Source organism: Homo sapiens, chromosome 1 (genome assembly GCF_000001405.40).
Source record: "Homo sapiens chromosome 1, GRCh38.p14 Primary Assembly".
NCBI classification, from domain to species: domain Eukaryota; kingdom Metazoa; phylum Chordata; class Mammalia; order Primates; family Hominidae; genus Homo; species Homo sapiens.
Window position 1 is genome coordinate 103,554,644 of NC_000001.11, and position 24,891 is coordinate 103,579,534.

A 24,891-nucleotide genomic window follows, 5' to 3' on the forward strand; every position below is an offset into this window, starting at 1 on the left:
TAAAATGATTAGGTACCTAGTATCAACCTAGCCATCCAACCTTATATTAATAACTAGGAAAATAAAGGGTTGGAGCCTCTGTGTTTCTTTGTTGAAAAATCTGCTACTATTATTAGATCTGTGAAAACAATTGAAAATTCGGTTATTATCACCTTAAAAGTACAAAACCTATAGATTTTGAAAATGTAATTATTTTTCTGTAGGCATAGTTAAAAAGATTTTGTAAATGTTATAAATCAGTTTCTTTATAAGCGGTTTATTTAGATAAATTTTGTTATACTGACATGATTCACTAATTTTCTAAATATAAATGGTTCAGCTCTTAGTTATTTTTAAACTAATGACCTGTGTTATACTTCCTATTTTTAATGGGCTTTTATGATGTTTTAGGTTTTTTTGAATCCCGTGTCCTTCAAGTGCTTTCTAACTTTGAGAGGAAGAAATTGACCACCTGGACTATGGAACTGTGCGTAACAGCTTTGAAAGTGTATTTAAAAATTAAATCTATATGCCTTTAAATCAGTGAATTGGAAACATATTACATGTATTTTAATGATTTTCCTCAAATATAATAAATTGTTTCCTTTCCAATAAAATAGTGTTTGTATTTTTTCTTTATCTGGTTTAACACATCTAGGAAAACATAATATTATAAAAAATATATATAATTTGTAATATAATTTTTTTATGATTACAAATACTGCCTTTTAAAAATTCTTACCTGGATACCAAAGCACTTTCACATTTTTTTTATTGTAATCTTGTTTTTTGTAATTATTTTATATTTGTCTGGCTTTGAGTTTTACTGGGCTTTTGGTTTTTTGGAAATGGGGGTTTATCCCAATTTAGAAATTTGTATCCTTGCTGTAATACAGTCTTCCATTTTTGTTCCCCCAAATCTTTCATCTGTCAGAACGTCACTCAAAGGTGAAAATATTTCCCACATAAAATTATTCTGTTCCTTTAATGAAATGAGTTTCAGCTGTATATACGTAGGAAAACATTCTTTTTTGTCAACTTGACGTTGACAAACTTGGTGGATGTCAGGAGTAAGGGTATTCAAGAGAATTTTGAAGAAGAATTTAATATAGTGAGTATCGAAGACAACTCTTAAAGAGTCTTGCGTTCAAGGGGTTGTGAGAAATGGGTTGTTAATGGAGGGCAATGTAGTATCAAAAAGCTGTTTAAGATTGATGATATAGCAGGTTTGTATGCTAATCAGACTGATTCAGTAGAGAGAAAAAACATAATGCCGGAAAGAGAGGGATATTGCTGAAGCCATAGACCTGGTATACAAATAGAAGGGTTCGTTTTAAAGATAGGCACACAAACAGCTCATTAGTAACGGTAGGATGAAGGGCAGATTATGGAGTTCTAGATGTCGGTAGTTCAGTAAATAGGAGCATGTCAAATTTTTGTTATATTTTCTCAGAGAAATAGGAAACAAGGTCATAAAGAGGGAGGAAGTCATGAAGGATTAAGGAAGGAAAAGGAGATGTAAAATGGGTATCCAGGAATGTAGGAAAGTAAACATACTCTTAGGCAATCTGTGGTTTATTTAAGTGGTATCAGTCAATGTGGTTTTGTGTTTTTCTCCAGTTGAGTTCAGCATAGGTGCTATCACTGAAAAAGTACAGAATTCAATTTAACTAAAGTTGAGATTTCCCTAGGTGAATAAGACAGTGATGAGATGTTGTTACATTTAAGAGAAAGATAATAAAAGAGAGATATGGAAAGTAATCTGGGTTAAGGAGTGAAGTGAGAAAATAAAGAAGGTTGAGACAGTGGAAAATGGTATCATCAATTGTAGATTGCAGTGTGGTTGAAGATGCATTGGAGTTCTTGAGGTACAAACTAGAAATTTGGGAGATTTAAATAAGAGTGGGGTGGCTGAAATTGAAATTAGAGTATAATAATATATAATAGTACTAAGTATAGTATACTAAGTATAGTATAATAGTACTAAGTATAGTATACTAAGTATAGTATAATAGTACTAAGTATATAGTACTTAGTGATTATAAGTTTTAGGATGTGAGGATGGGAGTAGCATAGAGGCAAGGTGATGGAAGGAGATGAATTCAAGAAATTGGGAACCTAGGAGATTGAAAGCATTATCTAAATGAATTTTGAAATCTCAACAAGAACTGTGCTGAGTGCTTTTTGTAATTATTTTATCTTTACTACCCTGTGAGAAGACAGCACTTCCTTTTGTGAGTAATGGAAAGCTCTTTAATGTGTCAACTGTAAGATACTTTATTACATTTAATTATCTTTAGTAATTCATGCTAACAAATAATGACCTCAGTAGGATTATTCAGTAGATATGTGAGCTAACCCCCTGTGTCAGACACCTAAGAGATACAACTGATGATTTTCAAGAAGAATAGAGTTCTCATCCCAAGTACTTAAGCTGCAAAATGTCCCACCCTATATTTTCTGAAAACAAACGGTATATAGAGCGTCCATTTAAAAGCTAATAGGAAATCTTAAAGCGTGCGCGCGCGCACACACACACACACACACACATACATACATACATACATACACACAAAACATTGAATAAGCATCAGGAAATATATACCCTGTACCCAACATGCACAAGGTCTAAGCAATGAAGAAAAAGCCAGGATATCAAGTAAGACTGGAACATCTGTGACTAATATATAAAGACTTGAGGTGGTTGTATCTATTTAAAAGGTTATCAATTAGAAATTAAGAAAGAGGCCAGGTGCAGTGGCTCACGGCTGTAATCCCAGCACTTTGGGAGGCCAACGCAGGTGGATCAACGTGAGGTCAGGATTTTGAGACCAGCCTGGCCAACACGATGAGACCTCGTCTCTACTAAAAATACAAAAAAAATTGCTGGGCATGGTGGCTCATGCCTGTGGTCCCAGCTACTCGGGAGGCTGAGGCAGGAGAATCATTTGAACCCGAAGGTGGAGGTTGCAGTGAGCCGAGATTGGGCCACTGCACTCCAGCTTCAGTGATGGAGTTAGATTAAAAAAAAAAAAAGTATTTTACATAAGAAATTTTAATTTTTTGTAAATTATAAAATAGCACTTAATATGGTATTTGTATACCGTGATCTTTGAATATCCAAAATTTAAGAAGATGTGAGCAGTTTTATGAAACTTTTCAAAGCTTAGAAAAAGGTAACTACATAAAATTCCATTATATGTTATTTATGGGAACATTAGATGAAGTAAGTCATAAAAACATGCATAGAAATGATCATACAAACTTGGAAGAAATTGAATGTCTTGCTATCGAAGGAAAGGATGGAGGTGAGAAGCTCTATATATTGTATTTTTCTTTATATATTTAAACTCGCATTTCTTATTTTTCAAATGTTCACTCCAATGAAAATTCTTTTATTTTTCCTGTTAGTTTTTATTTCTGATCTCATATATGCAATATACTATTGTTCATAAATATTAGTGATCCGCCCTGCAAATGAAATACTCCCATCCTGTTGAATTTGGGAATGTCCATGTGATTTGTTTTGGCTGTGAAATGTGAGCAGAAAGATTGTTTTACTTTGGGGAGTTCCCGATTGCTAAAGCATGTGTCAAAATGAAGTTTTTGTGACATTACAAAGGGACTAATAAGAGTGCCTTTGTTGATCCTAGTTGAACATGAGAAACTTGGTTATTGTAAGCCACTGAAAAATTTTAGTTTCTTTTATTACTGCAGAATAACCTATTCTGTCCTGATTGATACAGCCACAACATTTCCTTAAGCTCTTTGATTTTCATATTTCCATTAGGATGTAGAAAGTCAAGAGAAGAATAAATCATAGGATCAGAGAATATTAACAGTGAAAGAGACTATTGGAATGAACTTGTTCAATGGTCCAGACTTTGGGTTCTAAATAATCAGTAATATTTCAAAAAAAAGTATTAAAAGATATTTCAGTATAAAAAATGATGACATTTAACTTTGTAAACAACAACAACAAAAACCTACCATTGCTGGGCATAATTAGTCATGCTTGTAATCCCAACAACTTGGGAGGCTGAGGAGGGAGGACCACTTAAGCTCAGGAATTTGAGGCTGCAGTGAACCGTGATTGCATCTCTGCACTCCAGCCTGGGTGACATAGGGAGACCCCAACTGAAAAAAAAAAAAAAAAAGCTGTCATTAATACATTTTTCCTCTGTCTCTCTTCCCATCCTCCTTACCACTTAGTCTTTAATCTTATTAAACAAGATCTAAGGATAAGACAAGAGAAAGGATGGTTGCATCTATACTGAACATGTATTGAGTTTTTTTCGTCATTATTTTGTAAACAACATAATATAACAAGTTTTGACATGGCATTTACGTTGCATTAGTTATTATAAGTAATCTGAGATGATGTAAAAGTTACATGCAAATACTACATTGTATATAAAAGACTCGAGCAGTTGTTGCTTTAAGTATCCATGGTGGGTCCTGGAACCAATTCCTCATGGATATGGAGGGACGAGGAACCACTGTAGTTAAACAAATAATCACTTTAAAACTTAAAACCTTTTGCATGGTGAATACAGTCGTGCACCGCATATATGATGGTGGTCCAGTTAAGTTTATTATGCCATATTTTTATCGGAAGTTTCCTATGTTTAAATATATTTAGGTACACAAGTACACTGTGTTACAGTTGCCTATAATATTCAGTACAATAACATGCCTTACAGGTTTGTAGCCTAGGAGGAATAGGCTATGCCATCTACGTTTATGGAAGTCCATTCTATGACATTTGCACAGTGGCTTAATTACCTAAGGGCTTTCTCTTCAGAACATACTCCTGTCATTAAGCAATGCATGACTGTAGTTGGACAAAAAATAATAATACAGGCATACCTTTGGCACTGTCCTAATTCATACCAGCATTCATGATTACTTAGATTTACACTGGGAAGCCTTCAAAAAGCAGTGATATATTAGGAAAATATATTTGCAATACATGACAAACGATAATAACATAAGAACTGGAAACATTCAATAAGAAAAATAATAAAAGCAAAAGAAGATGGAAAAAGGAAGCAAATTTCAAGAGAAAACTCAAAAGGCCAAAAAATGTGAAATGATGTTCAGTCTTGCTAGTAATTGGGAAAAGCACAAATCATTTTTAATCTATTAGGCAAAAATCAGAGCGATAATATTTTTGGTGGGAGTGTGACAAAAGGTACTATAATATATTGCTACTAGAGAGTAAAAACTGACAGGTTTGTAAGGGCAATTTTGCATAATATGAAAATATAAAAATGTGCTTCAAGTTTCACTACGTTTAGTCTACAGAATTACCTATGTGTAAACATGTATACAGATGTTCATTATAACACTTCTTATAACAACAAAATATTTGGAAATGTTCATATTAACAAGTGCATACTATATGATCTTAGTCCAATTAGAATATTCTTTTTTATTTCAATCCTTTAAAAGACTCAACTTCTGACTGTATATAGACAATTAAAAAAATAATGTGTTCTCCGTATGTGCATTTGGTCAGGTTAATTAAAACTTGTTGAAATCTGCCTGCTCTTAATAAGGTTGTTAAAACTCTCTCATAATTGTAGATTTCCCTATTATTGTACTGTCAATATTTTTGCTTTAGTAATTTTAAACATGTTATAAGGTGAGTAAACATATATTTGTTGAATTTCTAGTCAGAGAGTCAAACATTTTTAATTATAAATGTACAACCATTTTACTGTGGTATTAATTTTGCCTTAGATCTTTGTCCAATACTAATAAAGCCTCACTGTCTTTCCTTTGGTTAGAATTTACATCATTTATTTGGTTCTAGCTTTACCTTTACCTTTTTTCTATCTGTTTTTAAAAAATCTGTCTAAAAATGCATTTAGCAGAAACATTTAATCAATTTACATTGAATTTTTTTTACCCTATACCACAGGAATTAGGCACATTTTCTGTTTTGTTAATGATTAGCACTGATTATACCCATGCATATTCTCACAGTCCAAAGTTAATGCCTATGTCCATTGCCAAAGACAATAATGTGACCTTAGAATACTTGAACACTGTTTTATTCCAGTTTGCAGTTGTTTTTATTTTTGAAATTACTTCTGTATTTTTAATCCTCCAAGACATTATTTTTGCAGAATTTTTTCTACTGTTAATCTTTTAAAAATTAATCAGATTAAGCAGAACTCAGGTTTTAAAATATTTTCATATAATATTTTATTTGATTTTTCTAACAATCCAATGAAAGGGAATATAAGACTGATTAGTAGGTAAGAGCTCACTGTGGAGTTAGGCTTCTTGGCTTTGAAATTCAGTCCCAACATGTACTACAATTTGACCATTAATAAATCCCATTATTTAATTTTTTAGTGTTTTTTTCTCATTTTAAAAATGAGGATAATCATATTTCTATCATGTAGGGTACGCGTGTGTGATAAGTAAAAGTGATAATGCATAGAAATGGCACATAGTAACTATATGTTGTTAGTGGTTATTTTATTTTTATATTTATCAACAATATCTTCATTTCCTAATTGAGAACCTAGTATGAAATCCATAGACTTTAATTTTTTTCTAAGGTTCATACAGAAAAAAATGTACATGGTGAAGCATCTAGTAGATGGTGATGCATGGAGTTAATTTTTTTTTGGTTTTTTGTTTGTTTTGAGACGGAGTCTCATTCTTGTTGCCCAGGCTGGAGTGCAGTGGCGCAGTCTCGGCTCACTGCAACCTCCACCTCCTGGGTTCAAGCAATTCTCCTGCCTCTGCCTCCTAAGTAGCTGGGATTACAGGTGCCAGATACCATGCCCAGCTAATTTTTGTAGTTTTAGTAGAGACAGGGTTTTGCTATGTTGGCCAGGCTGGTCTCAAAGAGTTAAATTTTTGATTTAGTGACACTGCTTACATTCTAGTCTCATTTAACTAATTTAACCCAGCCCTATGCCAATCGGGTCTTTAAGGTTATTTTATTTTATATGGTTATTTTATTTTTAAGGTTATTTTATTAAGATTATTTTATTCCCTATATGTTTATTATCTATATATTCCCTATATATTATAAATATAAATGGTTCAGGGAAAAGAAATAGAGATTGCGAGAGGATATTGTAGAAAAAGGAAGGAAGACAGAAAGCAGACGAGATATAGTGTAGTAAGAAGAGGTGGCAGGGCAGCAAACTGAGCAGAGGAGAGAAGACAGTGGTTTGCTTAGGAAACAGGAGTGTGGTGATCAACCTGTTGTAATACTGGAGTTCAGAGAAGATTCCTTGTACAAATCTGATTTGGAGAATTGGAGTAGGACTCTAGGGCCACATATTGAAAGTAAGAGGTTATAGAAAATCTATAAGATTCTAAATTCAGCAATTTTTTTTCCAACTGAAGAAAAAGCAAAACCAGAACTGTGAGATTTTTATTTTATGATTGTAAAACACTCAACTGTGGGTTTGGGAGATTGCTGATTGAGAGAAGTTAATGTGGTAAGTTGTTTTAATGTTTTTTGAGTATTATGTAAGTCCTCCTCCAACTTTTTGTCTTGAAATAAGTGGTTTCTGTCACATGATTTGATATAGAGTTTCACAATCTATTTTCAGTTTGTTGACAAATCATGTTTCAGTGCTGTGCAGTACAAAATGTACTATTTATATTGAAAATGTGTCTTAGCCTTGGCTCAAAAGGTTTCTCTGATTTCAGAGATCTGTTAGGCAAACTTGATTATCTGTGCTTTCTTTTCTCTAACCTTTACATTGCAACTTATCCTGAGTTCAGGTTTATTTTCTTTCTTATTTTATTTTCAAAAGAAAAACAGAAAACTGTTGGGGGAAGGGCTGGTGGTTGAAGGTTTACTATTTTGAGAAAATTGTACCTAATTTATTGCAAAACTCAGAGGAATTAAGACTTTATTTTTTAGTAAGAGAAACAACTAACTTGATCAAGTTCATAAATGTGACATTAAGGTATTTCAGTTGTAATTTTTAATCACACTTAAATTACTTCCAAAGATATTTATAAGGCATCTAGGCTAAGAACTACGAATGACATTAATAGATAACTTGTCTTTTTTTTTTTTTTTTTTGTCAATGTTAATTCATTTGCATGTTAAAAAACTATAATATCTGGTATAAATGTGAGGCTACTTTGGATAGGGGGAAAGAACTTGTAAATAACTGATAGTTATATAAGTAGAAAGGGAGCTCTAGAAAGACAAGTTATTTGGAAGTTGCTACTTTCTGCTTAACAATAGAGCTCTTTCATTTTATTTAAGTCAAGGCTTTGGTGTGATTTAAGTAGGCTTTGAGCTAAATGATTAAATTTATGGTACTTGATGTGTCAAGAGGGATACTGAGTTTACACTAGAGCCGTTTCCCTATAATGCCATTTATATTATGGATGTCAAAATAGATACCTCATATATGATATTGATTGAAAAAATACTTTTGAGACCCTCAGAAACTGGCTAATTTTGAGTTAATTCTTGATACCGGATATATTTTATTTTTTATATGAGCCCAAATGAGAAGAGAGAATATGTTTTGACACTCCAAATATAAATCTTTAGTGACTATTGCTTTGTCGTCAGGATATTATCAAATGTCCTATTTCATATTCTTAGGGAATTCCCAAGATATGTCATTTGGCACATGATAGTAACCGTTAGAGCTTTAGAGTAAAGGGAAGTTTTCTCTTTGTAGAGCATTCTAGGAAGTACAAAATATGGGCAATAATGCCGTATATTACTAATAACTGAATAGCTTCTCTAAGGATAACTCTTTTAGAATAACTATTTCAGAAAGTAGATATAACAACTATTTTAAATCCTTATTTTTGTGTTTTTGATGCCGAAGATGCTAAGAATTGTTTGTGCAGATTTTTATTTCAGAAGACATAAATATACTTTAATTGTTTTAATGCTTCTCCTATGGGGTATATAGCTCTTCAGATTGCTTGTTTGAGGTGAAAATTAAGATCAAATGAGAAAATATATGATAATGCCTGACTCTTAGTAGAAGCTTATTATATGTGTGTCTAACTCTACCTTTCATGCAGTGCTAAATTCCCTAAATTATATCTGCAAATTATCCCTTTTTTTTTACCAACATTCCAAATGCATTGTGAAAAATGCTGATTTGCTATTACAAGAACAGAGTTCATTGATCTGGCATTGTTGAAAAGTATATTTCAAAACTACCATGGATCTGCCAGAAATCCTAAGCGAATAAGCAAGAAGAATACTGTGAGGGAAGGAAGGAAAAAATTGCAGGTAGAAAATATTGGTGATTCTTTTTCATCTCTGTCCATTCCTTTACTGGAAATGAAAATACTTCTGAGAAGTAGAAAGTATTAGAAGTTAAGAAGGGTAGAATGGGAAGACAGAATGGCCAAGTGTTAGTAGAGCGAAGGCGGAAAGACAGTATGAGTTGATAGGATTTTTAATAGGACCAGGTAAAAATATCAATACAAAAATAACATTATCAACCATATTGAGCTTTTACCATATCCATACATTGGGATAACAGCTTTATTTGCATTATTCGTTTAATCACAATAACTCTATGAGGTAAACATTACTTTTTCTAGTTAATAGATACATTTAGAGAAGTTATTTTCCAGCATCACACAGGTTATAAATGGAAAAGTCAGGATTTATAGTTTGTCTTAACTCCTAATAATTGCGTTTTCACATTTGGAACCTTGAGTCAAGCATGAAGTTCAAATGGTGCCCCTCTTCTCTGTCAACTCTTTACACCATCAGCCCTGTATCACTATCTAGTCAGTCTTCTATTTAAATTCTGATACTCACCCGTATCCAGTTAGTTTGTTGTACTCCCTGCAAATTTTCCTTCCCTATTTGCTTTTAAAAATCATCTCGGGTAATAAAACTCCCTTTGCTACTTTGAAGGCACCTCTTTATTATCTCCTTCCTACTCCCTGTACCCCATCATTTATAAAGCTTGGTGACTTCATCCAATATCTTTTTTGGTATTTTGTCAGCCCTCAAGGGTACAACTCTCCAGGCCTGATAATTCAGCCAGTGTACACTGCCCTCTGTATAGTAGTTGCTTAGGGATAGCATCTGTTCTGTTCAGTGTCTGTGTTAAATCAGTTAAGTATTTTTTGTTCCATTTCTTAGACTGTCATTGCTTTGTTGAAAACTACCAATTCTCTGCTTCTTTCTTCATATCTTTTTTTAATTGTTTTTATATACCCATTTGTTTTAAAAATGGTACCTCTAATTCAATATGTCCCCATATTCATCGGTTTCTCTAAACCAAATCTGCCTTTAGATTGCACTATCAGTCATAAAGACATTGCCATTCTAATATTCACCCAAAGTTTAAATCACAGAGTCCCCATTTGACTCTTTATATTCTCTATTCTCTTATATCTGATTAACCACCATTTTCTGTACAGTCTCCACCAAGTCTGTTATATCTCCCCTCTCTGTTTTACATAAACATTTCCCCTCTATTCCAGGGGTATATGTTCCAAGACCCCCAGCAGGTGCCTGAAACCACAGATAGTACCAAGCCTTTTGCAGTCATCTCTCCAGTATCTGTGGGGGATTGGTTCCAGGACCTCCCATGGATACCAAAATCTACAGATGCTCAAGTGCCTTATATAAAATAGCATAGTATTTGCATATAACCAATGCACATCCTCCTGTATACTTTAAATCATCTCTATATTGCTAGAGATGTAATATCTACTGTAATATAAATGCTATGCAGATAGTTACATTGTTTAGGGAATAATGACAGAAAAGTCTATATGTTCAGTACAGATGCAACTATCCTTCTTTAAAAATATGTTCTTCCACAGTTGGTTGAATCTGGCGATGTGGAACCCATGGATATGGAGGGCTGACTATATACACCATGTTTTTTCCTGGCACATCACTCAACTACTATTAGCTGGCGAGTCAACTCACGTTGTTGGAATGACTAGGGACAACTAGACTTCAAGTGATCTTTCATCCCAGGTAGGCTCACAACACAATGTATGATCTCAGAGTTCCAAGAGATCAAACTCCCTTCTGCAAACCCCAGTCAAACTTTGCTTGTGTCTTGTTTGCTGATATCCCATCGGATAAAACAAATATCAAGCTAATTCCATAGTCTTTGTAGAGAGAGACTTTATATAGGTATGGATACTGGGAAGTGTCATTCATTGGATGCCCTTTAATATAACTATCACACTTCCCTAATTTTCATTCTTACTGCTGTAATCCTAATTCAGATTTCTGTCACTGCTCTGCTTACTAATGTTCCTATCTCTTTGTTTTCTGGTCCATCTGATATAATTAAAAGTTTTTATTATTACTTTCCTGTTTAAAACAACCAAAAAACCTTCTGAGGTAAGTACTTTTTTCTTCTCCCTGATTTTGAGTGTCCCCAATATACCTTTCCAAATTTAACTGTCATGTCTCCCTCACACTTGACTTGTTTCTAAAACACTGTATTGACTTCTTGCCATTTTCCTTGCTCTTCTACATGTTTTTCTTACTTAAAAGCAATTTTACCTATCTCTTTTCATTGATGTCAAACCCATTCTTCAAGTCAATTTTATCTCCCCTTATTCCCATCTGTCAGAAAGAACTTTTCCTACCAATTAAATCCTGAAGCACTTAATCGTAACCCTCTTAAAACTATGTTCATATCTTTCACTTTATTGTTTGTTTTTGTGTATGGACATATCCCTTCTCTAACTGAACATAACTTCTAGAACAGCTCTGTCTAATACAAATAGAATGTAAATCATATATGTAATTTAACGTATTTTACTAACTGCATTAAAAGAAACCAAAAGACACTAGGGAAATTAATATTAATGGTAAATTCTGTTTAGCCTAATGTATCACAGTATGTTATTTCAACCTGTAAACATCATAAAAATATATTTTTTTACTTTTTATTTTCACACTATCCGAGTGTGTTTTACACTTACTACTCATCTCTGTTGAAACCACATACATTTCAACTGGTTAGTAGCCAATTGTTTCTAGTGGCTACCATATTAGACATCACAACTCTAGAATTCTAGGAGAAACATTAGTGTAGTACAGAGAATGTTGACTTGCAATCAGACTTATTATCAAATCCTGTCTTTGTCACTTACCATATGAGCCTGGACAATTTACCCAGTCTGTCTGGGCCTTAGTTCCAACATGTGTACAACACTTTTGCTAGGATTAGAGTCAAGTTTATTGCACAATTTCTAATATAGAGTTCATTGATTTTTAGAAAATCAATGAGGACATAACCCATGTTATGCCAATGTTTTGCACAATACCTGGAACCTAGAGTTTTCATGTTATAGCCATTTATTGAGCACATAAGACAATGTCAATCATTTTACTAGGATTTGGAAATACTAGATATGAAGTCTAACTTCAAGAAGCTTGGTCCAGAATGACAGACAAGTAAATTGTTAATTATAATATACTTACAAAAGAAGTCAAATATAGCTTAATGTCATATAAATTAAGAAGCTTTCATACAACAGAGGAGCTAACTATGCTTGAGAATATGAGGGTAAGCTTCATAAAGTTGTGGTTTCAACTTAATGTGGAAGGAAAAGTAGTTGCTTCCACACTAAGTTGGATGTGGAAGGGGATGATATGGGAAACAAAACCACTAGGAAATTCATGAAGGTATGATATTTCATATAAAATATGAGGAACTTCTAGTTTTGCAATGAACAGAGTTCACAGGATTGGCTGGCGGAAGGACCAAAGGGCAGCATCAGGATCGACAGTGGAATAGTTAAGATCCACAGCTCTCCTGATACCCTTCGTCAAAGCTGGTACTTCCTCATTTTGTCTCATGTTAAAAAATGGTATCATCCCCAAATACCTATATCTTTAATATTTTTCCTCATCCTTCAGCTCTAATCTATTCATAAATCTACTGCCTGTTTACCTCTGAAATATACCTTGTCTATGCCCTAGTCCAAGCCACTCACCTCTTTCCTGGACCACTGTAAAAGTCTTCTAACATCTACCCCTTTCCACTCTTATCCTCCTATAATCTGGTTTCTTCCCAGAAGCAGGGTGATTTTCTTTTAAAGTTTATTAGTCTTTCAGTTCCCCATGTCACAGCCTTAACAGCTCTCTCTTTCTTCATGTTCTACAAGGTTCTACATGATCTGGCCTACCTCTCTGATCTCATCTCATTTTATCCCACCCTTTATCACATGTGCTCTAGCCACACTGATTTCTTTTTAATGTGTCTTATGTACTAGCTTTTTCCTTTCTTGGGACATTACTCTTGCTCTTTCCTCTATCTGTTGCTCTTTCTCTGATCTCTAAATGACTGGACACTTCTAATCCTTCAAATCACATCATAAAGTCACTCTTTTAAGGGATGTCTTCCCTTACCATCCAGTCTATAATACCCTGATGGAAAAGTCACTTTCTATTTTATGATTTTATACTAGTTCTTATTGCTATCTGAAATTATTTTTATCATCACTGTTAGTACTGTTGCTATTACTGTTATTTACTAATATATTTTCTTTTCTTTCCACTAGAATGTAAGTTCTCTGAGAACAGAAACCTGTCTTTTTCATAATTGTCTCCTGAACATCACCTACAGTGCTTAGCAAAAAGCAGACACACACTTAACACTTGTTGAATGGATGGATGAAGTTTTTCCTACCTGTACTATTACTCCCTTTCATAGCATTTCACTTACATTACATTAAGAAGGAAAAATTACACAAATTTATTTATTTAGCATTTTGTCAGGTACAAGAAATATTTGCCTACAGGGAGAAAACCACCACCACCACCAATCCTACTACTATATGCACTATATTAAGCACATGAGTTGATCAAGGGGAAAAAAGTTAGTTTCTCCAATTCATGGGCTTTGAGATTTTAAACGTTTTCTTAAATCATTAATGGAGAAATTTAAATAACCAAAACTTTGAATTAAGGATGGGAAACAGGGCTGATTTTAAAAATGGAAATATCACATAATATGTCTGTTTGAAATGGAAACATGACAAAAATTTGAAAATAGTTAAATATTTTGAGAATTCAGTTGGCTTCAATTGTTATTTTCTATTAGTGACGGATATCACAAACAAAAGACAGTCCTTATTTGTTATTAGGATTTATATATATACACACATATATAAAGACTATATAGACTATATATATATACACTGCATTATATATATATGGAATATATATATGTTTGTGTATATATATATGTTTGTATGTATGTGTGTGTATATATATATGTTTGTTCTCATGCTGCTATAAAGAAGTGTCCAAGACTGAGTAATATATAAAGGAAAAAGATTCAATCCACTCACAGTTCCACATGACTGAGGAAGCCTCAGGAAATGTACAATCATGGTGGAAGGGGAAGCAAACCCATCCTTCTTCACTTGATGGCAGGAAGGAGAAATTCTGAGCAAAAGGGGGAAAAGCCCCTTATGCAACCATGAGGTCTTGGGAGAACTCACTCACTATCATGAAAACATCTGTATGGGATTACCGCCCCCATGATTCAATTTCAGTTACCTCCTACCAGGTCCCTCTCATAACACATGGGGGTTATGGGAACTACATTCAAGATGAGATTTGGGTGGGGACACAGCCAAACCATACATATATACATATATACACACACGCACACACACACAGAGTCTATATATACATACACACACACACATAAGGACTGTGTAGATATGTGTGTGTTTGTGTATATATATATATAAATACAGTCCTTATGTGTTTAAATATATATTTACTGTCCTTATTTATGTGGGTTTGTGTGTGTGTGTGTGTGTGTGTGTGTGTGTGTGTGTACACTGCCAGAGGTTTAAAAAGGTTAAGATTTTATCAGTAAGAAAAAACCAGTCACCTCTGCCAGCCCATGCACCATGTTGTCCTGCCGCTCCACTGTCCCACTCCTCCACCAGTCGCAATGGAAGAAGAGATTGCCGTACTGGTGATTGACAATGGCTCCAGCATGTGCAAAGCTGGCTTTGCTGGGGACGACAACCCCCAGCCATGTTTCCTTCCATCATCGGTGCCCCCGGCACCAGGGCATGATGGTGGGCATGGGCCAGAGGGACTCCTATGTGGGCTACATGGCTGAGAGCAAGCACAGTATCCTGACCCTGAAGTACCCCCATTAAGCATGGTATCATGACCAACTGGGATGACATAGAGAAGATCTGGCATCACACCTTCTACAAGGGACTGCACATGGCCTTGGAGGAGCACCTGGTGCTGCTGACCGAGGACCCCCTGAACCTCAAGGCCAACAGAGAGAAGATGACTCAGATCATGTTTGATACCTTCAACACCCTGGCCATGTACGTGGCCATCCAGGCTAGGCTGTCCCTCTACACCTGTGGTTGCACACTGGCATTGTCATGGGCTTTGGAGATGGGGTCACCCACATGGTGCCCATCTATAAGGGCTACGCCCTCCCTGACACCATTCTGCATCTGGACCTGGCTGGCCAGGACCTGACCAACTACCTCATGAAGATCCTTACCAAGGTTGGCTATAGCTTCAGCACCACTGCCGAGCGGGAGATCAGACACTACGTCAAGGAGAAACTGTGCTATGTTGCCCTGGACTTTGAGCAGTAGATGGCCACTGCCACATCCTCCTCCTCCCTGGAGAAGAGATATGAGCTGCCTGATGGCCATGTCATCACCATCGGCAATGAGGTTGCAGTGTCCCGAGACGCTGTTCCAGCCTTCCTTCCTGGACATGGAATCTTGTGGCATCCACCCAGACCATCTTCAACTCCATCATGAAGTGTGACGTGGACATCCGCAAAGACCTGTAGGCCAACACGGTGCTATCTGGTGGCAACATGTACCCAGGCATCACCGACAGGATGCAGAAGGAGATCACCACCCGGGCACCTAGCACCATGAAGATCAAGATGATCGCATCCCCAGAGCACAAGTACTCCGTGTGGATCAGCGGCTCCATCCTGGCCTCACTGTCAGCCTTCCAGCAGATGTGGATTAGCAAGCAATAGTACAATGACTTGGCCCCCTCCATCGTCCACCGCAAATGCTTCTAAATGGACTGTGAGCAGATGGCTAGCAATTGCTTCATGGGTTAATTCAGAAGTAAAAATTTGCCCCTGGCAAATGCATACACCTCATGCTAGCCTCACCAAACTGGAATAAGCCTTAGAAAATAAGTTGTCTTTAAAGCTTGTATCTGATATCAGCACTGGATTGTAGAACTTGTTCCTGATTTTGACATTGTATTCAAGTTAACTGTTCCCCTTGGTATCTGTACATATCTTTGATTTCAGTCTTTAGTACATGTGGCTTGGTCACTTCATGGCTAAAAACGTACTTGTGGAAGACAAGTCTGGCTTGGTGAGTCTGCATGGCCAGCAGTCTCTGATCTGTGCAGGGTATTAATGTGTCAGGACTGAGTGTTCTGGGATTTGTCTACAGGCTGGTAAGGGCTCCTTAACCAGTTGTTTCTGTCCTGTCGGTCTGTCAGGGTTGGAAAGTCCAAGCCATAGGACCCAGTTTCCTTTCTTAGCTTCTGTTGTCTGCCAGAACACCATGGGCTGTTACTCGCCTTGAGTTGGAAGCGGTTTGCATTTATACCTATAAATGTATTCATCCTTTTAATTTATGTAAAGTTTTTTTGTATGCAATTCTCGATCTTTAAAGAGATGACAACAAATTTTGGTTTTCTACTGTTACGTGAGAACATTAGGCCCCAGCAATATATCATTGTGTATGGAAAAATAAAAGTGCTGCCAGAACCAAAAAAACATTAATTTCTAAAAGGTCATTTAGATGATTTCCATGAGAGACTTTTTAATGTTCTTCTCCTGTTAGGATTATTATTGATAATCCTTTTCAGATTATGAGTAAACAGTTTGCCCTCAAGTATTTATTCATGCTAATATTTACTTTGTAAAATGTGCTTCTTACAGGAATATAAATAGTTTCTGGAAAGGACACTGACAACTTCAAAGCAAAATGAAGTTCTTTCTGTTGCTTTTCACCATTGGGTTCTGCTGGGCTCAGTATTCCCCAAATACACAACAAGGACGGACATCTATTGTTCATCTGTTTGAATGGCGATGGGTTGATATTGCTCTTGAATGTGAGCGATATTTAGCTCCCAAGGGATTTGGAGGGGTTCAGGTGGGTATGATTCATAGTATCAATTGCAGAATTCACTATGCTTGTAGTAAATAGTATTCTGATCTTATCCGTGAAGCTTAGGCAACATTTTACTTCACAGGTAAGTATTCTAAGTAAGAGTTTTCTGAGGAAAAAACAATGTAGTATTCTTGGCAACTTTATATTTTGTTTCTGAGATAATCTTTCTTCAACAAGAGCCCTCCAATGTGCTGTTAATATTTTCAAGAGATAGCTGCATATACCAAGATTCAAGAATTTTTTATATTATTGATTAGTTTCTAGAACATTCAATGATATAGAGTAAGAATTTGGTAGTTATGAAGACTGTTTAATTTGTAGGTCTCTCCACCAAATGAAAATGTTGCAATTCACAACCCTTTCAGACCTTGGTGGGAAAGATACCAACCAGTTAGCTATAAATTATGCACAAGATCTGGAAATGAAGATGAATTTAGAAACATGGTGACTAGATGTAACAATGTTGGGGTAAGTGAATTCTAGTTTCCTTGAAAAATAACAGATAGGAAAATGATTTCTCTCTCTTCTTTCTTGCTCCTTTTCAGCAGAAAGTTTTCCATATTTTATTTTTTTAATTTTACTTCATACTTTAAAACTCAAAATTAACCGTTGCCTTATGTTCAGCTTTTGTAAATATTTGTGTATGTGCTCTCTATCTACCAAAGAAACAAGTTTAAAGCAGAATTTACTTCTAAAGCAAAACATCAAATTTTAACTTTTATACCTATCTATATTTCCTGGAAAGAGTTTTCTGGTTAAGAGTTATAATTCCAGTTACAATATTTGCTATCATTTTTAGGTGACTTGTATCTCCATCCATAATTCCTGGGTTTTTCGTGGTGACTAGCTAGCTTCTCTATTTAATGAGGAGCATAATTTGAGACTAATAGCTCCCTTATTTGTCTTCAAAAGCTTAGTAGAGAGTACAGGCTTTCTCCTGGTGACCGACTGTAATTTCCAAAACAGTAACCTTTCCAGTCTCATCTGAGTTTTGTCTCCCCGAAATGGGCTTTTTGCATTTCCTCCTATTTATGGTAGTTTCTGGTTCTCTCAATTTACCATTACTATAAATATTTGACCAAGTGTCTAGAAGGCATGTAGGTGTTTAGTTCACATTACTTCTTCACAGTTGATTTTTGATCTTGTAGGAAAATAGTTATAAGATATCATGAAATATTTTGGAGTTTTATTAACATACTATAAACTTGAATCAATAATGCTTTAAATTTCTGCCTCTCTGTAAGTCACACTGAAGTAGAAACTTTGCTTTCTAGGTTCGTATTTATGTGGATGCTGTAATTAATCATATGTCTGGTAATGCTGTGAGTGCAGGAACAAGCAGTACCTGTGGAAGTTACTTCAACCCTGGAAGTAGGGACTTTCCAGCAGTCCCATATTCTGGATGGGATTTTAATGATGGTAAATGTAAAACTGGAAGTGGAGATATCGAGAACTACAATGATGCTACTCAGGTAAATTTTTTTATGAGAGTCATCTGAATAAGGGGTGATATATGCCTTTTCTTGTAGACATGTAGCTAATTGAACTTCATTTTAAATACGAATTTAGATCTCTTAGGGACACAGGTTAACAGGTTTGACTACTTTAAGAAACTCAAATCCATATTTAAAAACTTAAATATAGATTTAAGATTTTTAATCAATACACATTTGCCCACTTTTAAAAAGCTCCCAACCAATTAAAAAGCTCGTCGACTTTATTTCCTAAATTCTCTATTTTCTATTAGAAAATATTTCCAAGATACATCTATAGTAGAATGTGAGCATCCCCAGCGCCCAATGCAAGGAAGTCACTATAGAATATCTCTTGAGGAATCATGGAATAAATGAATAATCAAATGGATTCTCATGTGAAAAATGAGGTTTTATGAATCAATCATAACATTTTTACCTCAACAGGTCAGAGATTGTCGTCTGGTTGGTCTTCTTGATCTTGCACTGGAGAAAGATTATGTGCGTTCCAAGATTGCCGAATATATGAATCATCTCATTGACATTGGTGTTGCAGGGTTCAGACTTGATGCTTCCAAGCACATGTGGCCTGGAGACATAAAGGCAATTTTGGACAAACTGCATAATCTAAACAGTAACTGGTTCCCTGCAGGAAGTAAACCTTTCATTTACCAGGAGGTACATCAATACATATATGCATATAAAATATCATCTTATTCATTAGAAAATAATGGCAGATTTAATTAAAAATGCAATTTCTATAGGATAAGGACTGAGTCATTTATATAAAATGGTGTTCTTTAACCTCCTCTTCACATACAGCATATCTAATTCTTTATCACAAACAAAACAAAACAAGACAAAAAGAAATAATAAATAGCTTAATTTATTAATAAATAACAAATAGCTTAAAGCTATCTTTTATATAATATTAACTTATTGGTTAAAATGCTTTAAAGTCCTTATGCAAAATGTTACTTTTTCCTAATTTTCTACTAGGTAATTGATCTGGGTGGTGAGCCAATTAAAAGCAGTGACTACTTTGGAAATGGCCGGGTGACAGAATTCAAGTATGGTGCAAAACTCGGCACAGTTATTCGCAAGTGGAATGGAGAGAAGATGTCTTACCTAAAGTAAATAAATACAACTTTTCCCCTGAAGTATTTCATAGATTTATTAGTCATAGTACCCCAGTGTGAGTTATCTTCTGGAACATTCTTTTTCAGACAACTATCAAGGAGTCAATTGTTAATGATAAGTATTCTAGTGCCCTAAACTCTAATCAATCATCTTTTGTATTTAGAGTGTCTATCACAAGTGAGTATGCCTAGGAACGCTAAACATATCCTAGGAGTTTCCGTCTAAGTACGAGATGAATATACTGGATTTGACTGATGTTTGCATATAATCTTTTAAAGCCAGGTTATTATTAAAATGATCCTATCATTTATAAAGTATGTACAAAGTTTCCATACTGTAGAATTTACATATATTATATGAATTAAAAATATAAAAATATTTATATTATAACAATACAGTATTGAAGCCTTATTTTAACCTAGTTTGACATTCCGTAAAATGTGATATGGATATTGATCCTTCTGGAGTGCCTCTAAATGATAATGTGCTGAAACCTCTGAAAGGACCTTTTTTAATAACAAAAATCTTATATTTGTAATATGAATATAAGTATTCCATACTTGTATATACGAATATAGACTACATATGTAGATTACACACGTGTGTGTATATGGTGTGTGTGTGTATATATATTTGAGTGTGTGTTTGTGTGTGTGTATGTATATATATATATATATATATATATCTTACAGAATAACCATTTAATTAGAGAAAGAATTTAATCTTCAGATGCCATGCCATGCAGAAAGAGATGCACAGTTAAGTTACTCGCAAACTATTGTGAAATGATACATCAACATATATCTTATTTTTCAAAAATAGGAACTGGGGAGAAGGTTGGGGTTTCATGCCTTCTGACAGAGCACTTGTCTTTGTGGATAACCATGACAATCAACGAGGACATGGGGCTGGAGGAGCCTCTATTCTTACCTTCTGGGATGCTAGGTAGAAAACCAAGTTCTCTATTTTTTTTAACACATCTTTTAATGATGGTAATGATATTCTGATATTCTGTGATAATATAATTATGTAACTTTCAGGCTGTATAAAATGGCAGTTGGATTTATGCTTGCTCATCCTTATGGTTTTACACGAGTAATGTCAAGCTACCGTTGGCCAAGACAGTTTCAAAATGGAAACGTAAGTTTTGAAATTGTTCAAACTATCCTTTTCTCAAGAAACAGAAGGCAATCTTGTTCTAACTTAATATGACAACTATTAATTATATATTCAACAAATAATTGATTAGAAACCTGATATAGGGCTGCGATTTTAGTAATGCAGGTTATATTAAAGGAGTAAAATATATATTTTCCATTGACAAAGAGTATGCAAGCCTTTTCAGACATATGATAAACATCCCCCTAGCCCACAGGAAAAAAAAAAAAACCACTTAAAAATAAGAGCTAGGCACAGGGATTAAAATATATACTTCGAATAAGTACCTACCTCAGGGTTAATAGGAAGATTATACATGCCAACACTTTTAGAGAACTTAAAACATCATCTGCCCACAGTAAGAACAATATAAATGTTCGTTAAATATTTTTAAAAAGTTATATGGAATACAAAAAAATGATTCAGTTGAGCTGAGTTAAATAGGGAAAAGTATCTAATAAGAGGAAGGAAATTATATGTACTAAAGAATGGAAATTTAGAGAGTATTCCAAGAAAGGTAAGAATGAGAAAAATATTTGGGAGTATGGTAAAGACATTTATCTGATGAGTAGTTTCAAAAAGGAACAGAGAAATAAGAGTGTACAGATATTTGGAAAGCTAGTAGAAGGTTTTCTTTAAACTAAAGGGTTCAGAAACAGCATCAGAGACTTCAGATCTAAAGCAGAAATTCCTCCTTCCTCTGAGTCACACAGATATCTAGCTAGCTTTTTTTAGATTCCTTTCAGTTTGAGAAGTCTGTTACTTTGTATAGCAACTGATTCTATTGTTAAACAGCTTTAATATTTAGGTGTACTTTTATATTGAGCCAACTTATCATGATTTCTACTAATTGGTCTTATTTCTGATGTTAAGGGTCACAGAGTATTTTTATTTTTTCTATCACTATAACTTTTCCACTTTCCAGGACTGCTGCATGCTAAAAACTCTTAGTTTTGTTCACTTTTCACCATATGACATAATTCTAAGGTCAACACTGAAAAACTTCCTAGGGTTACTCTGGTTTTTTTAATTAAGATTTTTTAAAGTGCCAATCAGAAAAACATAATATTAAAACTGGTGTCAATTTATAAAAAATGTTCTGATGTATTGTTTTGTACAATTATCTAAACAGAAGCATGATGGACTCTAATATTTATTGAGCACATGTCACGTTCAAGGCATTTTCACATATATTACTTAATTTTTATAGCAAAAAAACAATATTCCCATTTTACAAATGAGGAAACTGAGACACAGAGAAATTATGTATGTTGATTAAATTTTCTTAGCTACTGTTAATAGAGCCTATGTTTTAATCCTGGTGTTTCTGGTACTAATGCCCTTCCCATTTCAATGACATTGCATGGCTTACAGTGATGTTAAGAAGCCCTTGCAGGCCAGGTGCTGTGGCTCACACCTGTAATCCCAGCACTTGGCGAGTCCAGGCGAGAAGATCAGCTGACCTGAGGAGTTCAAGACCTATCTGGGCAAGCTAGCAAGACCTCGTCTTTACTGAAAATTTTTTAAAAATTAGCTGGTTGCGGTGGTGCACACCAACAGTCTTAGCTACTTAGGAGGCTGAGATAGGAGGATCGCTTGAGCCTGGGAGATCAAGGCTGCAGTGAGCTATGATTATGCCACTGTACTCCAGCCTGGGTGACAGAGCAAAGAAGCCTTTGCAGTTCCTTGGAATGAAAAGGAGAGGATAACAATTTGTTACCTTTGTTTGAAATATGGCAAAAGAGAACCAGAGGATAGAGAGATGATGAAGACCCAGTAAAGGGCTATAAAAATTATTGAAGGCATTGGATTCTAGATAAAGTCATTGAATGCAGAGACACAAGTAACAGGATAGGTTGGGTTTGGTTTAAAGGAGAAGGAAGAGGTAAATATATGTATGTTAAAATTTGGCTTTTCACCCCCTAATTAAGGATGTTAATGATTGGGTTGGGCCACCAAATAATAATGGAGTAATTAAAGAAGTTACTATTAATCCAGACACTACTTGTGGCAATGACTGGGTCTGTGAACATCGATGGCGCCAAATAAGGTGAGAATATGTATTTAGACATGTCCTCTAATAGTAAACTTTCCATTGCATTTTATTTAAAACAGTTGAAGTTTAAGAATATCAACGTTTTATATGGTATTGTGTTTTTAGGAACATGGTTAATTTCCGCAATGTAGTGGATGGCCAGCCTTTTACAAACTGGTATGATAATGGGAGCAACCAAGTGGCTTTTGGGAGAGGAAACAGAGGATTCATTGTTTTCAACAATGATGACTGGTAAGTACATATCAATTAAAAATAATATTTTGTACCTGTATGCTCTTGGTTTATTCCTTTTTTTCTGTTCATTGACATTTATCATATCTGAAAAATCATGTAGTCAGTGGAGCAAGAAGACAATAGACATCAAAATTGGGCAGAAGTAAAAAGATGATGGCTGTTACTCCTTCATTCTCCTGTTTTATTAAGGGCTTTCTGTTGTAAGCAGAGTCCTTTCTGTGCACCCTTGCAATATCTTATGCATATATTGAATGCACATACATATGCTCACCTACACATGCCACAAAATACACAAAGTAGTTAATATGAGGATTGTGAAATCATTAAAAGAACATGTCTTATATTCCTGTTTTTTTAATCATGGAAAAATGCTGCCTGAGTACTAATATATCTTTATTTCTAACTCTTTTTCTCAATGACTGCTCTATGTAGTTTTTTGGTATACTTTCTTCACTTCTCTGTCTCCTTGTGACAAATAATATTTTTAAAGCATATGCATAAATAATATGTATCTTGTGGTTAATGATTGGCTTCAGGGGATTTGAGTTTTAGTTCCGAAACTTCTCATTATTGGCCTTTCATCTGTGATTCTTATATCCTTTACTGAAGTATAAATGATTCCCTAACCTATAGCTCAGAAGACCTCGTTGCAAACAGTTGAATTGTCTCTGTCCAAAGCCAACTGATACTCATACTTAGCTCATTCTAGTATAAATTATATTTCACTGATGAAAAATAAATAAATACATAAATACATAAATCTAGTTGATCTCTTTCCTGCCAAAAAAGCCCATGTCTAGTTCTTTAATTTCTTTCTTTTGTGGATGAAAATACCAAAATAAATTTTTGTGAGAAAGCTTTATATTTCAAACTATCACTTCTTCATAGAAATGCTAGATTGTTTCTATGTATGCCCCAAATTCTTTTTTACCTTATGGGGAAAAAAGGAGATTAAAAAAATAAAACCCTTTAAAAATTTTTTTTTAAATTATACTTTAAATTTTAGGGTACGGGGAGGGGGGAGGGATAGCATTGGGAGATATACCTAATGCTAGATGACGAGTTAGTGGGTGCAGCGCACCAGCATGGCACATGTATACTTATGTAACCCTTTAAATTTTTAAAAGTAATTTGTATTAAGTTCAGTTGAGAACAAATTTGATTTTAACAAGCTAGCACTTTTATCAAAGTGTGACCATTCCTGCCAATCTTCAGTGATATTCTTCAACTTTGATTTTTTGGTAATATTTTCACTACGGACCAGGGAACTGCTACATTTTCTGTAAGGTTACTTTTGGTCCTAGAAAGCTATTTACAACTACTAGGGAGGCATATGGGTTTTCTTCTTAATGAGACTTCACTGCTTAGGGTTCTACAACATAAAGTTATGCTGTTTAGTTGTGTTAGCCTGTATTCTTGATTTTCAGTGTATTGAAGTTAAATCTGAAATTTTATTTTACAGGACATTTTCTTTAACTTTGCAAACTGGTCTTCCTGCTGGCACATACTGTGATGTCATTTCTGGAGATAAAATTAATGGCAATTGCACAGGCATTAAAATCTACGTTTCTGACGATGGCAAAGCTCATTTTTCTATTAGTAACTCTGCTGAGGATCCATTTATTGCAATTCATGCTGAATCTAAATTATAAAATTTAAAATTAAATGCATATCCTCAAAACAATA

General features: G+C 34.7%; 2 protein-coding genes and 1 pseudogene across 5 annotated transcripts in view, besides 1 other annotated feature; all 3 read left to right on the forward strand.

Moving 5' to 3' along the window:
* The window catches only part of RNPC3 (RNA binding region (RNP1, RRM) containing 3), a 29,541-nt gene extending 28,945 nt beyond the window's left edge, over positions 1-596 (forward strand). Inside the window, exon 15 of the mRNA NM_017619.4 lies at positions 391-596. The gene's annotated coding sequence lies outside the window, so the exon portion shown is untranslated. The remainder of the gene's footprint in view (positions 1-390) is intronic.
* On the forward strand, positions 1-24,891 carry AMY2B (amylase alpha 2B). 3 transcript variants are annotated; one of them, NM_020978.4, is made up of 12 exons: positions 1-466; positions 10,792-10,951; positions 16,914-17,127; positions 17,467-17,613; positions 18,420-18,617; positions 19,065-19,295; positions 19,617-19,750; positions 20,580-20,702; positions 20,798-20,897; positions 22,847-22,965; positions 23,077-23,202; positions 24,668-24,891. In NM_020978.4, the coding sequence occupies exons 3-12, from the start codon at positions 16,960-16,962 to the stop codon at positions 24,855-24,857; spliced, it is 1,536 nt and encodes a 511-aa protein (NP_066188.1). In that variant the 5' UTR covers positions 1-466; positions 10,792-10,951; positions 16,914-16,959; the 3' UTR covers positions 24,858-24,891. The 3 variants fall into 3 exon arrangements, with proteins under 3 accessions (NP_066188.1, NP_001373038.1, NP_001374366.1); NM_001386109.1 differs by lacking the exon at positions 1-466 and adding an exon at positions 7,145-7,451; NM_001387437.1 differs by lacking the exons at positions 1-466; positions 10,792-10,951 and having other exon boundaries at positions 16,946-17,127.
* Positions 2,847-3,065: a silencer, noted in NCBI's record as "fragment chr1:104100112-104100330 (GRCh37/hg19 assembly coordinates)". NCBI's record gives its function as "represses an EF-1alpha promoter that drives an FKBP-Casp9 reporter gene in an ReSE screen in K562 erythroleukemia cells {active_cell/tissue: K562}" and the evidence as "EXISTENCE:reporter gene assay evidence [ECO:0000049][PMID:32094911]".
* On the forward strand, positions 14,761-16,748 carry ACTG1P4 (actin gamma 1 pseudogene 4; annotated as a pseudogene). The gene has a single exon (NR_024438.2). The product of NR_024438.2 is annotated as an actin gamma 1 pseudogene 4 (transcript).